Source organism: Homo sapiens, chromosome 1 (assembly GCF_000001405.40).
Source record: "Homo sapiens chromosome 1, GRCh38.p14 Primary Assembly".
Lineage (NCBI taxonomy): Eukaryota > Metazoa > Chordata > Mammalia > Primates > Hominidae > Homo > Homo sapiens.
The window spans coordinates 156,430,424-156,447,239 of NC_000001.11; the positions used below are offsets into that span (position 1 = coordinate 156,430,424).

Here is a 16,816-nt window from a genome sequence, read left to right on the forward strand (position 1 = left end):
GCCCCCCCTTCCCCACGGCCCCCTTCCCTCCTCTCTCATACACAAATCTCCCTCCAACTTTTGTCCCACAGACCTGGAGGCCACTTGAGTCTCTGCTGGCTCCCCTCTCTCACCCTCCCCCACTGCTTTCAGTCTCCCCTCTCTTCACCACCTCCCTCAACTGGGGGCGGGAGGCTGTCTTCTCCCTGGTGCCTTCCCAGCCACCTTCTGGCCTGGCGATCCCTAAGCTCTGAATGAGGGATTCTGAGGGCTAAGGTCAGAGTCTATAGACCGGGTCCTTCTTTCCCCACCTCAAAGCAGGGAGACTTCAGAGGGGTGAGAGAAGGCAACAGACTCTCCCCACTCAATGTTCTCTGCCCCCCAATTCTCAGTCCTGTCCTGGCCCAGTCCCCCAATTCCAGCCCCGCTTCCCCTCCCCCATTCCTCCCATTATGATTATTTTGCTCTCCCCTTGATTACATCTGCTTCACTAGCTCAGAAATAAAGATCCTTTGAGACTAATTTTGCACCCCCCCATCTCCCCACCCCTTCCCTCCCCCTTCTCTCTAGACCAGGGCTCCCGTTAGCTCCTTTCTCACCGGCTGGAAGACATTGAGTTCCTTGTCTAGGGAGCTGGGGGGTTGATGGGAGGGGGGTGCCAGTGGAATGGGGGGGGGGCTCTGTCCAACTCTGGGACGTGTCCAGCAATCCAAACCTGTCCTTCTTTTGTTCCTGCAAATCTCTTCATACTGTCACCACCCTCTGGAGTCTGCCTTTCTCCCAGTAACCAGGGGATAAGGGAGGAAGGGGAGGAGGATCCTGAACTCACCCCACCCCTCAATTCCAGGGAAAGGAGGAAGGGGGAGAAAAGGGAGAAAAAAATTTAAATCCCCCCCCTCATTAGCCAGAAAGGAAGCGAAAGGGGATAATTATAATTAAAAGCAGACAGCTGTGGATTGCATCTTTTATGTTCCTCCAAGCTTCCTCCCCACTTCTGCCACCATCACCCAAAAATTTGCACAGCCCCCTGTGTATCTTCCCCCTGGTTTCCTTCGAGTGGTGAGTGTGCCAGGAGACTGAGGCATGAGGAGCAGGTTTGGGGAAGAGGACTCCACTTCCTCTCCCGCAGGCAGCGCCTTCTGAAACATCTCAGCAGGCCTAAGAGATGGGGGCTTCCTGTTCCTACCCACCAGCCTGTACCCCAAGGTGCAGGATTGTAGGAGGTGGGGGAATCCAGATGATAATAACTAATTCAATAATTTGGGGAAGTCTGATTTTCCGAAAAATAGCCATAATATTGATAATGAAATTAATACTAAGAATTAAGTAAAACCTAGAATGTTTTCTCATTCAGGCATGTCTTCCCGCCTCCAAAGTAGCTTCAAAACACAAGAGGGGTAGCTGAACGTCTGAAGAGCTGGGATCTGTAAGGGAGTGTGTTCTAACAAAGAGAGGCTCATAGGTTTAGAGTGTACATAAAATGCGCACATATACATACATATACTCCATGATTTTGGGGGTGGTGTTGCTAGGCCTAGCTCTGCTATCCTATGTATTTATAGAACTTGATCATAGGCCAGAACAGCAGGGTAATTATAGCGTTATTAGCATATATGCAAATCAGGTAACCTATATACGCTGAATGGAGACAGATTATTATTTATTTCTCTCCCCCTTTCTCCTTCCCTGGTATCAGCTCTGGCTCCTCAGAGCCGCACACCAGCAATTATCTGACATTATAAGAGGGGGTTGTAGCCCTGGAGGAGGGGGCTGAGGGGAGTAGGACAGAAAAAAAAACCTAGGGGCGGGAGGGTTTTATCTCATTTTACTCAATGTTATTCTGGGAAGAGTGGGGAGGAGCTCAGTGAGAAGCCTTTGAATTAACAAAGGCTAATTCCAGTCGGGGGCGGGGGGGCGGGCAGGAGGGGACAGACAGAGACCTGAAAACAGAGACAGATGAAGCCAGAAAAGCTTCGAAGCAATGACAGAGACAAGAGGGACAGAACTGCAGCTCACAGAGAGTAGGGGAACCAGAGATAGAGTCACAAACTCACATAGAGCACATAGAGTGAGGCACAGAGAATTCAGATCTGGCAAGAAAACAAGGAGCTGTTTATTTGGAGTTGGAAGGGATGAGCTCTCCAGGTTTATTCGGCACGGGGCCAGGATGGGGGCCACCCCATGTTGGTTTAGAGGCTGAGTCTGAGTCTTAATCCAGAGCCCATTCCATATTATCAAATCCTTTCTCCTTTTCCCACCACCTAGTAAATGGCCATGGGACCCCAAGCAGTGGCTTTTGGTGTGTTCATGCATTCATTCCAACCAACACATGACGAGCAGAAACCACGTGGACATGGTCCGACTCTGGACCCTCCTTTCTCCCACCAGGATTGAGCCGCAAGCCCCTCCTCTTCCTTCCAGGTTAAGCTACCTTCTGTAGGTTCATTCTTAGGCTCCGCAGCCGGATCGCCACAGGGTGCCTCCGTATCTAAGGAGTCGCTTCACTGCCTACCTTTTCGTACTCCAACCCTCTCTTACTCAGACATTATTTATACCAGGTCCGTGGTTGGGAAGCTAGGACCTTCACAGTTTTCCTTCTATATTGTCCTAGGGACTTGCTTCCACTGAGTTGGGTACCTTTTCCTCTGCCTGGCTGGGTGGTTCTGCTGGCCCTTGGCACCAATGAGGCACTGGGGTTCCAGCACTCCACCATATCCTTCTGTCACTCCACTCCCCAGGTGGATTAACGGTGTATGTATGTCTGTTTGACTGACCCCAAAACTAGATAGATGCTGGAGATAGCAGCATCTCCATCAAGTTTCAAATGTCTCTCTCCACATCCCTGCTTGCAACGCAGCTATCTAGCTACCGCCTTCTCAGAAAAGCCTTTGCCCATCTGAGCCAAACTTCAAAGAAGGCAATACTGGGGAGAGGTAGGATTATTGAAACTGTAGCAGTGTCCAGGGACTCTGAGTGGCGTAATGAAGAAGGGTCCCAGAAAGAAATAAAGAGATAGACACCCAAAGAGGCAGTGGCTAAAAGACTAAAAGGAAACAACCTTCAAGTCTATACTTGGATTTTTATGCAAAAATGGAAATTTGCTGTCATGTATATCTATATAGACCAGCAAGATGGATGGGCTTTATCACTAATGACATCTGCATCTATGACGTGCTTTTGTATTTATATTTGCTCCTAGGTCTGACTGCTTCTTGTTCTTTCTGGCCATGTCTCACAGAATAGTAAAAGAGCTGAAGAGATAGGGAGAGAAAGACAAATTGAGCACAGAAAGAAACTGAGAGGGGCAGAGACTTAGAGTCAGAGACCTGTAAGAGTGAAAGAGAAAGGTGCTGACAGTCATCAGAAACCTGGTCAAGGATAGGGCAGACAAAGAGACTGACAGCCAACCCCAGGGGCCAAGCTTTCCACTCTCCGTCCCATGTTAGAGACCTGGTATATGGCCCTCCCTCCTGCCTGCTTCTCCCCCAGGCTCTGCCAAGAAATTGGCAAATATATTTGCAACTTCACCAGGCACATTTCTCTGCAAGTGTCATAGTATAATACTCTGGAGTCATTTGGACAATGGATGGGCTCCTCCCTGGGCTGCGCCATAGAGACCTCTCTCCACTCATCCTGGCCTTCTAGGATGAGGCTCACCCAGCATTTCTCTTTTGACCTATGTACTTTCCTACTTCTGCAGCTCTCCTGTATAAAAATTAAGCTCCAATCCTATGGAACTCTGTGTGTGCACAAAAATATCTCTTACCCTTATATTTTCTCCTACAAAATTCATCTCCCTGGCAATCCAGTTGGACATCTGTGGCCACACACTGTCTGCGTCTTGCCGGGCTTGGTTGTTGGGACCTATCTGTGTGTACCACAAACAGGTTTGTGTTTTTACCCAGCATAGTCTGTGCATACAGATACCTGCCTGCAGACAGGCTCCATCATCCGCCATGCAGGCCTGGCCACCACTTTTACTGCTGCTGTGGCTGAAAGCATCTTCCAGAAATTCTGAGGACACAGCCCAGACAGCCGTTTACCACGGGGTTCCCCTTTAAAGCTACCCAAATCCCCCTTTTTGGTGGCTTGATTACCTTTCAGGTACATATAGTTCTCCCATAATCCAGCCTCACCACAATGTTCTCATGGCACCAAATGACTCCCTCTGCCCTGGAACGGAGACCAGACCTTACCACAGACACATAGGCTAGTGTTCCAGCTTGATAACGGTACCCATGAGCTGGAAAGAGATTTTCAACTTTACATCTCCTTAGGTGTAGATTGGTATCTGTATTTGTACACATGTGACGTTTATTCCTAGAACCATATACATCTCTTCTGCTTGTTTTCACATAAATAACGGTCTCTATGTGGGTACTGGCCAAATCCTAGCACCGCGTACGATGCATGTGGCACGGAACACATACTGGCACATGTATGGCATGTCTGCTTCATACTCTGTACCCTGGTGCCATTTCTTGGTGCAGTACTGGTATCTGCTTCAAATAGGGTTCTGTAGGTCTGATGCTCATTTCTGGGGCTCAGGCTCTTAGATTTTGGCTGCATCCCTCAGCTAAACAAGCAGCCAGTGTGGGAGCCTCGGCAACCTCAGTCCAGGCAGAGGTACTGAACTCTGGGGGGCTGTATTTATAGTTGCTAGGTTACTGCTGTGCCCGCTGGTGAGACCAGGCAGGTCCCCTTCCAGCTGCCCGACACTGGCCTAAGAGTCACCACCTTGATGGACTGAGTTGGGCTTAAAACACCCCGCGGTGGCAGAGTGTTGGCAAGTAGGCTTACGTGTCTGTGTGTGGTGTCTATCTGCAATGTGCAGTCATATGTATGCTGTTCTCGTGTATGTGTCCCGTGATCATGTGTATGTCCACACTCTGTGTTTTGTATGTGTGTGGTTTGGGGCTGCGTGTGTGTGTGTGTGTGTGTGTGTGTGTGTGTGATATTTGTTATGCGTGTGTTTGTCAGTGCGTGCTGGGTGTGCCTGCGCCCTTGAGTTGGCGGTGAGGCTCACGGGTAACTCGGTGGGTGTCTGTGTGGTTCGTGCACGATGGCCTGCAGGCCCCTGAGTCTCAGTGAGCGTGGGCCTGCGGCCTCCGTGGGGACTGCAGGTCTGGGTCCTCTGTGTGCCCCGGGGCCAGGCCAAAACCAGGCTGGAACCCGCCGGCAGGGCCCCCGAGGCGCCTCTGCCTGCTCTCTCCGTTCTTGCCGGCGGCAGCGATTCGGACTCCCGCTTTCGACAAAGTCTCAGCTCCGCAGCAGCACCCGGCGCGGACTCGCTGGGCGCGCGGACTGAGCTCCGGGTGGAACCAGGACCCTCGCGCCCTCGCCCTCGCCCTCGCCCTCGCCCTCGCCCGAGCTGGACCACCGCGAGCACCGCCGACGCCAGCCGCAGAGCCGCGGGTGCGCGGGGAAGAGGAAACGAAAGCGCGGGCTCCGGAGCTGAGGTGAGAAGTGAGCAGAAAGTGAAAAGAGAATCCATCGGAAACAGATAAAAAAGGAAAAACAAAACCCACTCGAAAAGAAAGAAAACGTTACAACAAAAAGGATAAAGTAACGCTAAATGAAATAAAAAGGAGACATACTAAAAACGTTAAAGTTGTTAAACTAAGTGATAGAAAAGGCGAAGAAACAACAGGGCTAGGAAAGGGCTCCGAGGCGCCCGCAGGGAAGGGGGCCCTAGACGGGGCGATGAGGCTTTTGGGAGCCTCCGGCCGCGGGCGCGGCGGGGTCCGGCGGGTGCGCAGCGGCCGGGGCTCCTCCGCGCGCTGCCCGCCGCCGGCACCCGGCTCGGGCGAAGAGCCGGCTGGACGGTCAGCCAGCCCCACCCACAGAGAGTCGCGGGAGCCCGAGGGCCGGGAGCTGCGGGACTCCTTCGCCCCCACCTCTGCCGCCCGCCGAACCCGACCCCGGGAAATCCTCCTAGCCGCCGCCTCCCAGCGCCGGGTCTCCCCGAGCGTGTGCTCTCGGCTGCGAGGCCCTGCATGCGCAGTGTCTGGGTTCGCGGCGTCAAGCGGAGCCTCGGTCCAGCCTGGGCAGCCGAGAGCGCGGGGACTGCTGAACGCGGTCCGCTCCCCGCCAGCCGTTCGGGACCCCAGCCTGGGGGAAAGCCGACAGCGTCCCTCTCCGCGCAAACTCCACGCGGCAGCCTGGACTGGGATGTGGGGCCAGGGGGCTGAATAATTAACAACCAGGAGAAGCCGGGGAGAGCGGGAAGCCTGGCAAGCCAGGGAAAGGGAAGATGAGACAGAGAGACATAGAGAGACAGGGACAGAGGGAGACAGAGAGGGGGCTAAGAGCGACGCGGGCGAGAGAGGAAGAAAGGCTGGGGAGAAGGAAAAATGAGATAAATAAAGGAAAAAAGAGAAGCGAAGGGCGGTGGGAGAGGCAGCCGGGCCTCTCTGGGAGCTTAGCCAGAGGCGCCCGTACCCCCCTCCCCTGCGCGTTTGCTGGGAGCCGCTCCCTTTCCCTTTTCTTTCCAAGCTGCCGAATTCTGTCCCTAGACGCTACGTTCCCAGTAGAGGGTAGGGCCAGGATCCAAAGATGCCGACCGTGGCCGTGGCTCTCTGGAAGCAGGCAAATGGGATGGAGAATCTGTGGGCTATAGAGAAGCTGTGACATTGTAGGGCACAGAAAAAAGGCCTCCGAGAAGGGTCCAGCCAGCAGACCCCCACCCCCCAACCCCCGGATCCAGGGCCGCTTCTGGAATCACATTAGGGAGAGGCTGGCCTGGTTCAGAGCTCGCCCATCCTAAACAAGATAAATAAATAATTCCCCGCTGGCCTCAGTGTGGGAGGAATCAAAGAACCAGAACAAATACCTCCCACAGCCTCCCTGCCCACCCTCCACCCCATCCCCGGACAGGTGGGGAAAGGGCTGCTATGACCAGCTTTGTGGCCTTGGTCAAGTCACTTCCTCCATCCCTTTTTGCCTTTATAAACGGAGAGCCTTGGGCTGGAAGCCATGGAAGTCGCTCCAGTGGAAAGACGGTCAGAGCTGGGAATGAATGGGACGTAGGAGTCACTCCAAATGAGACCAACCCAGATTTGGTGGGTCAGTTAAGCTCATCCCAGAACATTTTGGACCTCGTAGGTAAACATATTGTGTATTAATGCGTGGCTGGGTGTGGGCCAATCTGAAAGAAAGCAATCGGCTGAGTGGGTGGGAGGCGAGGAGTGGGCTGCTTCTGTGAGAGAAGCCCAGGAGAACAGGGAGCAAGAGGGCTTCCCAGGAGGGTCCCCGACATGAGATCAATGACCAGACAGGGTGCTGCGGCAGAAGAGGATGGCATAAAGGCCAGACAGCTTGGTGGAGGGTGCTGGTGCTGGGAAGAGCACAGTTTGAGGCTGGCCGTGTGACTCCAAGCCAATTAAACTCTCCGACCTCCTTCTGAACAGGCAAAATGGAGGAGCGGAAACCAATTTCCCTGGGTTGTGGTAATAAGAACTGAATAAATTAATATACCTGCTTGGCTCTTCATGGATAAGAAATCGGTGTGTGTGTGTGTGTGTGTGTGTGTGTGTGTGTGTGTGTATTTCCAGTTCAGGAATGTCACGTTCATATTGTTATATCTTCTTGTTTGGGGTGGTGCTGAGTGGAGGACGTGTGAGGAATGGCTGTATTTTGCTGCCTGTCACTCTTGCCTTCCTGTTTTAACCAGTCTCTGAATCCCTGTGTCAGACTCAAATTATTGCAGATAATTAAATATATAATATGAAGCGTTGCTCTTTTTAAAAAGACACTGAAATAAAATAAAACATCCCTCAATTCATTGAAATAGCCGCAATAAAACACTGTGGAAGTCAAATGTTTCCTGGAGCCTCCACCAGTTACCTGCTGCATCTTTTACAGTTAAAGTTAACACACTCAAAAGGGATTGTATTTCTATCTGGAATTGAGTAATTGGTACTGCCTTTCTGTCTGTCCAACCCCACCCCCACTTTCCTTATTTCTGTGCTTTATTTTCAGAGAATTAAGGAGATTCTATGTATGGAAAATGCATATTTTGACTGTTTTGGTTTTAATAGCCCAAGTTAAACCTATAAATTTAATACAATTCCAATAAAATGCCTGTTCAAGGATAGATACGTAACAATGAAGTTTTGGAAGTGACTTGAATGCTGAAAAGAATAAACAAGATGTTGTGCAGGAAAGGAAAAATTTAGACATTTATGAACATGAATAGATGTCACAGCGTAATGTTGAGTGAAAAAGTTAGAAGTTAATGAGAGAAGTAGCACTATTCTATTTATGCAGATAAAAAAAATACGAAATACACATATAGTATTCGTAGTATGTTTGCATATTTGGGAGAGACAGTCAAGGAAAGAAAATGCGTGTGTGACCACAGGAAATGAAAGCGTAGGCAAGAGGAAACGTAAGTCTTTGTGATGGAAGATGATAGACTGAAGAAAGGAAAAAACTGTGAACTAAGAGTCAAAAATAGTCAAGTTTCAGTCCTGGCTCTGTCACTTACTAAACTGGGTGAACTTAGGCATGTCACTGACCCTGTTTTCCAGTCTTTTGAATGCCCTTCTCATTCAGTTGTTGTGAGATCTAAATGAAATTCTATTCATCAAAGTTTCTTTATAATCTACAAGTGCTTTATGAATGCACGATATCATATGTACTGCAAATAACTTATGTGACCCAAACTACATCAATGCGTCCTACCACACCACGCCTCATACTGAATGGGCCTCCCATATGCCCCATCTCTGCGGCTGGGATCTCCAGATGGAGGGGATCCGAGGCCTGGAGGCGCCTGGGCTGTGGGGGATGGAGGTGAGGTGAGAGTGTGGAGGGTTGGGCAGCATGGTTCATTATCACCTTATCTCCCTTTTCACATGTTTCAGCCCTCACCCACCAGCAGTTTGCCCCTTCCCCCTACTTGGCGCTTTCTCTGCCTGGACTTGACATACATGGTGAGTGGAAGAGTCCTCCTGGGCTGTGGGCTGTAGCATTGGAGGACAGGGGGTGAGAAATGGACTGAGATTACAATGGAAGGGATATTATTGGGATTCTAAGAAGAATTCTGACCTTCCAAGGCAAGAGACCCAGTAATATTCTCTCCCCAGAGAAAAGTCCCCTAACACCCTGGGAATGCAAAGGCCTGGGGCAGGGGGTGGTAGAGAAGACACCCCAGCACACCCGAAAGAGGGGGAGGGGGAAAGGAGAAAAAAGAGGCTTGAGAGGGCACAGGGAGAATTCTTATTTCTGTGCTCTCTCAAGAGGAGAGGGGCTTGCATTGCGAAGCTAACGAACTTCTTCCCAAATTCTCTGTGCGGGATTTGGCTGCTCCCAGAGGGGGGTCCTTTCTAACAAGGTGCCCCCGGGCCCTGCCCCTCCCTCCCCAGGAGCTGAAGCCGCCAAAGGTTCGTGGAATATAATGGATCATTTTCCAATTTACCAGGGTCTTAGAGATTACGCCGCTAATCCCATCAAAGACCATCTGCTTACATTGTCCCTCCTGAGCCAAAATAAATAGATCCTTTACTCCCTCCACTTCAACTCCTCTGGGGTATTGTAGCAGGAGAAAGTTCGACAAGGCCCATCCCATTTCCCCCTCCCTCCCGCTGAGGGCTGGACAGAAAAGGAGAAAACAAACTTAGCTTGTCTGAGGTGTGAAAGGTCACTTACGATCCTGACCTGCATTCTTCTCGGGAGCCTGCGACGATGGGAATTGGGGAGAGGGGCGGGCCCCGGGGCTCTGGAGGTCTCTCAGGATCAGCCCCCTGCGGAGGTGTGGGACAGGCTGTTCCGTGCCCCACCATCCTGCTGTCTCTGCTCTGAGGCCACCTTAGCCCCAGCCCATTTTTGGTCCCTTTCGAGTCTTTCTGAGTTTCTTCCACCTATGACTGTTGGGAAATAATTATTAAAATCTAATTTTCATCCCTCCCTTGCCAGAACTGTGGGAAAAAGGACACGAAAATCCACATAAACACTAATTTGATTCCATCTAAGAGTCATTTGTTCTATAGGCTTTCCACATTTCTTCTCTTATTTCTTATTACTCTGTTGCAGAAAGGGGCTTCGTAAATGGGGAAGAGAGGAGCTTGGGGGAGTGCCTTCTAGCCCAAGGTCTCGGGGAAGTTGAGGACTAGAACCAGGAGTGTGTATGTGCAAACTGGGCTTCAGAAATTAGATTATGCACATTATATATTAAAAGGTGATAACCGCTATGGACGACAAATGAAATGTAAAACAGCATAAGGGGATGGGGTGGGGCCTCATTGAGAAGTCGGCATTGGAGCAAAGACTTAGAGGAGATAAGAGAGTTATTCGCGAGGAAATCAGGAAAAAGTTCCACACACAAAGAACATCCAGTCTCTTCTCACTGTTTCCTTCCATCTTGGCTGCCTCTACCCCATTTTGTTCTTCAGTCATCATTGTTAGCAGCTGTTTTCTAACCTGTTCACGAACTAAAGGGGCTTCCAGCAACCGTCTTATCCTTTGCAGGACAATCTGCAGGGGCAGGTCTCCCAAACTCTGGCAAACATGCCTGTTGGGGATGACTCTGCCCTAGACTCATCTGGTCTCCCATAAAGACACGTTTTACTTTAGAAAAGCAGCGTAGGGTGGCAGAAACAACATAGGCATCGGAGTCAGGAAGATCTCATTTTGAATGAAGCCCAGCTCTGCTACTTATGAGCGATGTGATCCTGGGTATGGCTCCTGGACTCTCTGGCTCTCCATTTCCTCATTGTAAAACAAGTATCATGCCTACCTCATCAGGCTGCTGGGGAAATGTACAGTTCCTGGTGGGTGCTCTGCACACAGCACTGTGTGAGATAGAGCAGAGAATGGGCCCCAAACCATAGAGAAGTTAGAATTTGCTTAAGAAATTCAACAGGGATATGTAAAGCACTGCATTTAGAGACAAAATATAAATTTTCTAGTTACAAGATTTGTTCATTTGACAAGTGTTTGCTGGATGACTCTATGGACCAGGCACTAAGGGACATAAGGGGAAGGAGACATCTGCCCTAATTAAAGATCACAAATTATTGCTCAGAAAATATAGATAGAAATTCTATGGAGAGAGAAAGAGATCCTGTTCAATGGGGGTAATGTAGAATCGGGAAAGGTTTCACCAAAGAGTTGGGCATGAGCTGGGTGGTCTTTGAAGGAAGGATAGGACCCAAACATTGAGACAGTAGGACAAAGCAGTGCATGTGAGAGACCAGGCTTGACAATGATGCATATCGGAAAGACCTGAACATTTAGGTAACCATAAGCTCAGTATGAGCCAGTAACGTGATGGAACTGCTAAGAGCTAATGTGGTCTTTGGCTCTGGGAAGAAGAATCACATTCCAGTCAAGAAAGCTGAAGAGTGTTACTGTACTTGTAACTGACTCCATCTGAAGCAAGATACTGACATGTAAGAGAGCACTGAGAAGAGGATTAACCAAATGTCCAAGGGGCTCTGCCATATATAAGGGATGTGGCCGTGGGCAGGTTACTTCTTCTCTCTCATCTTCATTTGCCTTATCAATAAAATCAGAATGAAGTTTATTGCGCAGGGTTCATAGTGAGGGTTAAATGAGATTGTATGAGAATACCTACTAAAGTGCCTGGCACATGGGAAATACTTCAAATGATTCTTGAAAAAGAAGTCTTCATTAAGTGAAGAATTACGAACAAACTGATCTTGGAGCTGTGGTACCTGTCTTTAACTATTTAATGGGCAATCCGCATAGAAGAGGGGCAGACTTATTGAATCGTACAGGAAAAGAATCAGTGAGTGGAAATGAAAAGGAACCGCATTAGGGTTTGGCATAAAGAAGAATGTACAAATGGTCAGAAAAGACCAAATACAGAGAATGTTTAGTCAAGAACAGCCACCAATTCTTGGTGATTTTAGACCAAGATATAGAAGAATGAATTTCTGTTTTGAGTAAGTGATTGAACTACCTGATTTCTTAGCGGTATGCGCCGGTAGTCCCAGCTACGCTGGAGGCTGAGGTGAGAGGGTCGCTTGAGCTTGGGTGGTTAAGGCTTCAATGAGCTGAGATCACACCACTGCACTCTAGCCTGGATGACAGAGCAAGACCCTATCTCTAAATAAATAAGTAAATAAAATAAAAAATAAAATTTGAACTAGCTGATTTCTAACATTCTTTCCAATGTCAAAGTTCTAACACAAAGCAGTGAATATGTCAACTTACATTAAAAATTTTAAGCTTCCTCAAAGTTTCACGAAGGCAGGGATCATGGCCATGTGGTCCATTTCTCCATCAATGGCCCAGAAGAGTACTGGGCATATAACATGCATTTGATAAATATTTGTTTAATGAATAAATGAATGGAATAAATAATGCATGTCAAAGTTCTTGTACACTGGAAAATACTGCAGATAGTTATAAGTAGCCATGATAATCACTGGCTTTTTTTTCTTTTTCTTTTTTTTTTTTTTGAGACAGAGTCTTGCTCTGTCACCCAGGCTGGAGTGCAGTGGCGCGATCTCGGCTCCCTGCAACTTCCGCCTCCCAGGTTTAACCGATTCTTCTGCCTCAGCCTCCCGAGTAGCTGGGATTACAGGCGTGTGCCACCGCATCCGGCTAATTTTTGTATTTTTAGTAGAGATGGGGTTTCACCAGGTTGGCCAGGCTGGTCTCGAACTCCTGACCTCAGGTGATCTGCCCGCCTCAGCCTCCCAAAGTGCTGGGATTACAGGTGTGAGCCACTGTGCCTGGCTGATAATCACTGACTTTTTTTAGTGTTCTGTTACAAGTGCTTTATATGCATTATTATAAAGACAGTGTTACAGGAGCTCGGTGTAAAAAGCACAATGCTCACTACTTCTCCTCCCCTACCACGGGAAGAAGGGAGATCTGGAGGAAACAGGAAAGACTAGGAAATTACCATCCACAGAAAAGAGGACAGAGGGTAAGACGGTGGTCTTGGTTCCATTGTGCTAAAGGCAACTGGGAGGGGCATGGCTGGGCTGCATATCCACTGATGCCTGCTAAAATAGGACGCTGAACAGAACAACTTTAGGAATGGAGATGATACAGAGAAGCGATTTTGTCTTAGAGTTACAAACCCAAGCAGAGTGAAGCTAAGAAGGTGGCATCTTTCCACTGGCGCTATGTTCATGACTCAGAAGTCTTGCATTATGGTGGCGAAGGCATAATCAACTCCCTGTAGCCGTCTACTACCTCAGTAAATTTTTAGGGTTTCCTGACTGAGACAGAATTTATTCAAAGGCCCTTGGCTTTTGGCAGTGCTTTCTCTCCTGTATCAAAGAACCAATACTTGGTCAAAAAATACAATGAAGAGTTTCCAGTAGTTAAACAGCCTGATTTCTGCTTTGCTTTTACTTTGCTGAGAAGGGCTATAGTCACAGTCTCTCTCTCTCTCTCTCAATAAATGGGAGGAGAGGGGTCTGTGGTGTCCTGAGGAAGAAATGGGTGAGGCAGTAACTTCCCCAGGGTACTATTACTCAATTAAAAAAAAAAATCTAGACCAGGCGTGGTGGCTCGCTCCTGTAATCTCGGCACTTTGGGAGGCTGAGGTGGGGAAAATCACCTGAGGTCAGGAGTTTGAGACTGGCCTTGCCAACATGGTGAAACCCCGTCTCTACTAAAAATACAAAAATTAGCGGGGCATGGTGGTGTGCACCTATAATCCCAGCTACTCAGGAGGCCGAGGCAGGAGAATCGCTTGAACCCAGGAGGCAGAGGTTGCAGTGAGCCGAGTTCGCGCAACTGCACTCCAGCCTGGGCGACAGCAAGACTCCGTCTAAAAAAAAAACAAAAACAAAAAACAAAAAAACAAAACAAAAAAAAAAGAAAAAAAGAAAAAGAAAAAATAAATTCTGTCATCAGATCTTTCCCCAATCAGTGTAGATTGGGTAATCCTATCTAAATGCCTTCTCACCCTAATCCAGATTTCTCATGCAATGTTCCCATTTTTTTTCCTTTCTTATGCCCTTTTTGGAGCCAGAGAACTCTAATTCCACGGGCTATCTGAAAAGAAGAAACCCTAGGTAATATGTATTTGGCTCCCCCAGGTTTTCTCTTCCTTGCCTGCTTCAATGTCTTTATCACTGAAGAGAGTGCATCATTTGAAAAGACAGATATAGAAGGGGAAAGGGTGCTTAAAGTCTGGGGAATACAGAGGAGGTGCCCCTCCTGGGCAGCCCCTGGATTGGAAGAAGTTCTGGTCTCTTGGTTTGTTGCCTTGTGCCGCCACCTAGTGTCCCAAGACCTTAAAATATCATACCTATATTTCATTCATTCAGTTTCATTTATTCACTGATTCTTTCCATCTTTCAGCAAAATATATTAAACCTTCCCTCTAGCCAACTATGGAGGCAAGTTGCCCTACCCCTCCAGTTGTTTCTAGGAATTCCTGTTGTCATTCTGTTCTAGACAGTTCCCTTGCTGTCCTTTGCTTTTTGTGAAAAGAGACTTTAACCTTTCTCTGAATATTCCAGGTAAATTTAATTCTAGTACTTCTTGCTATGGTTCAGACTCATTCCCTTCTGTTAGTGTAAGTGGAGACTAGGTGCTCTGTAATCCCTTCCTAACAATCCATTTCCAGTCAAGGCTCTGGGTGGATGAGAGTGTCCACTGAAGACAGCAGGAGGGAGAAATGACACAGTGTGAGGTTAGACAATGCTGTCACCTATTTGACACTTTATAAAGAGGGTCTGTATATGTCAGGATATTTCATTTTTACAGCACCCTACTGAGGTTCACAGGGCATGTATTAGCATTCCCATTTCACAGGTGAGGAAACAGGCTAAAGAAAGTCAATAGCTGGGCGTGGTGGCATGTGCCTGTGGTCCCAGCTACTTGGGAGACTGCGGTGGGAGGATCACCTGAGCCCAGGAGGTTGAGGTTGTGGTGAGCTGAGTTTGGGCCACTGCACTCCAGCCTGGACAACTAGAGTGAGACCCTGTGTCAAAAAAAAAAAAAAAAAGAAAAAAAGAAAAAGAAAAGAAAAGAAACAAAAAGAAAGTCAAGCAGTTGATTGACAGGGATGTAATGGAAAAGCTGAGCAAGTAACAGGTCTCCTGGCTCTCATTCAGGGTATACGTCTTTTTTTTTTTTTTTTTTTTTTTTTTTTTTTTTTTTTGATGGAGTCTCGCTCTGTCACCCAGGCTGGAGTGTGGTGGCATGATCTCGGCTCACTGCAACCTCCGCCTCCCGGGTTCGAGCGATTCTCCTGCCTCAGCCTCCCAAGTAGCAGGGATTACAGGCGCGCACCACCATGCCCAGTTAACTTTTTGTATTTTTAGTAGAGACAGGGTTTCACCACGATGGATGGCCAAGCTGGTTTTGAACTCCTGACCTCAAGTGATCTGCCGGCCTCGGCCTCCCACAATGCTAGGATTACAGGCGTGAGCCACCGCGCCCGGCCGAGGGTGTATGTCTTTACATCGGGCTGTCCAAAATAAGAATGGAAACCTAGAATAGAAAGCTCCTCCCAGGCCGGGAAGAGAAGACAGGCAGAGGGCAGCGGTGTCACAACAAGCCGTGCTCCAGAGGGGAGTGGATATGGCCTGGAGAGCGAGGAGGGCTTTTTCCTGCCTGAGAGGTGAGTGAGACTCCTTCTGTGGCACAAATGCTCCTCCTGGTGGCCGCACCAGGCTATGGCAGGGAAGAGGAAACGAAGGAGGCGGGCTGGAGGGGCTGAGCTGGGTTGGGAAGAAAGTCCCGGAAGTAGCATCATTTAATCGACATTGATGTGAATTTCCAGAAAGGCCGACATATTCATACTCAAATGTAAACAGATAAAATCCAGTTTGAATGTATTTTATTTATTCCCATGATTACTATTCCTATTATTAAGCTCTTAATCTTTACTAGGCACCTTTCTAAGTGTTTTACTTGCATCTTATTTAATCCTCACAACTCCATGAGAGGTTAAGCAATGGGCACTGAATCACACAAGCAGAAAGTGGTGGAGGCAGGACTTGAACCCAGATCTGCATGACTTCAAAGCCCAGAACACGGCTTCCCTCTTCCCAACATTCAGGACAGAACTGACTGTCAAAGTAGGCAAAATTTATTTATGTCAGAATCCAATGGAAAAAAATAGTCTCTCGTTTTAGGGGTATCCCTGATGTATTCCAGCTTCCAAGTACTGATTCCCTCCTAAAAGGCAATTCAGGTCAGACATACAGCACAACAGCTCACCTGACAGAACCTGGAATGCAGAAGTGGAAGGATTAGCAAGAATGGACCAAATGTTTGATTAATTTGAATCAGTCAAACTAAAATTGGTACATTGTACATGCCTACTCTGGACACTGCTTAGTGGGGGAGATAATGTTCGAGATACAGAGATGGCTAAGAAATAGTCCATATCCTCTGAGAACATAAAAGAGTAGAGGGGGAGACAAACATTTACAAAAGTATCTCTGAGATGAGGAAAAATATGGTTTAAAAAAAGGCAAAAATACTAAGAGTGGGAGTTGGAAGAGGTAGACCTAAATGACTCCTTGGAAGATTTGAAAGGGTTTTCTGGCCAGGTGTGGTGGTTCAAGCCTATAATCCCAGTACTTTTGAAGGCTGAGGAGGGAGGATCGCTTGGGCCCAGGAGTTCGAGGTTGCAATGAGCTATGATTGCGCCAGTGCATTCCAGCCTTGGTGACCGAGTGAGACCCTGTCTCAAAATTTAATTAATTAATTATTATTATTATTATTTGAGGTGGAGTTTCGCTCTTGTTGTCCAGGACGGAGTGCAGTGGTGCGATCTTGGCTCACCGCAACCTCTGCCTCCCGGGTTCAAGCAATTCTCCTGCCTCAGCCTCCCGAGTAGCTGGGATTACAGGCATGTGCCACCACACATGGCTAATTTTCTATTTTTAGT

General features: G+C 48.3%; 3 annotated features.

The window, feature by feature from the left end:
* Nucleotides 9,177–9,771: an enhancer, noted in NCBI's record as "NANOG-H3K4me1 hESC enhancer chr1:156409392-156409986 (GRCh37/hg19 assembly coordinates)". NCBI's record gives its function as "activates a minimal SCP1, AML or CMV promoter by ChIP-STARR-seq in naive H9 embryonic stem cells {active_cell/tissue: H9 hESC(naive)}" and the evidence as "EXISTENCE:reporter gene assay evidence [ECO:0000049][PMID:30033119]".
* Nucleotides 9,772–10,365: an enhancer, noted in NCBI's record as "H3K4me1 hESC enhancer chr1:156409987-156410580 (GRCh37/hg19 assembly coordinates)". NCBI's record gives its function as "activates a minimal SCP1, AML or CMV promoter by ChIP-STARR-seq in primed H9 embryonic stem cells {active_cell/tissue: H9 hESC(primed)}" and the evidence as "EXISTENCE:reporter gene assay evidence [ECO:0000049][PMID:30033119]".
* Nucleotides 15,436–15,495: an enhancer, noted in NCBI's record as "active region_1860". NCBI's record gives its function as "activates an Ori minimal core promoter by ATAC-STARR-seq in GM12878 lymphoblastoid cells {active_cell/tissue: GM12878}" and the evidence as "EXISTENCE:reporter gene assay evidence [ECO:0000049][PMID:35858748]".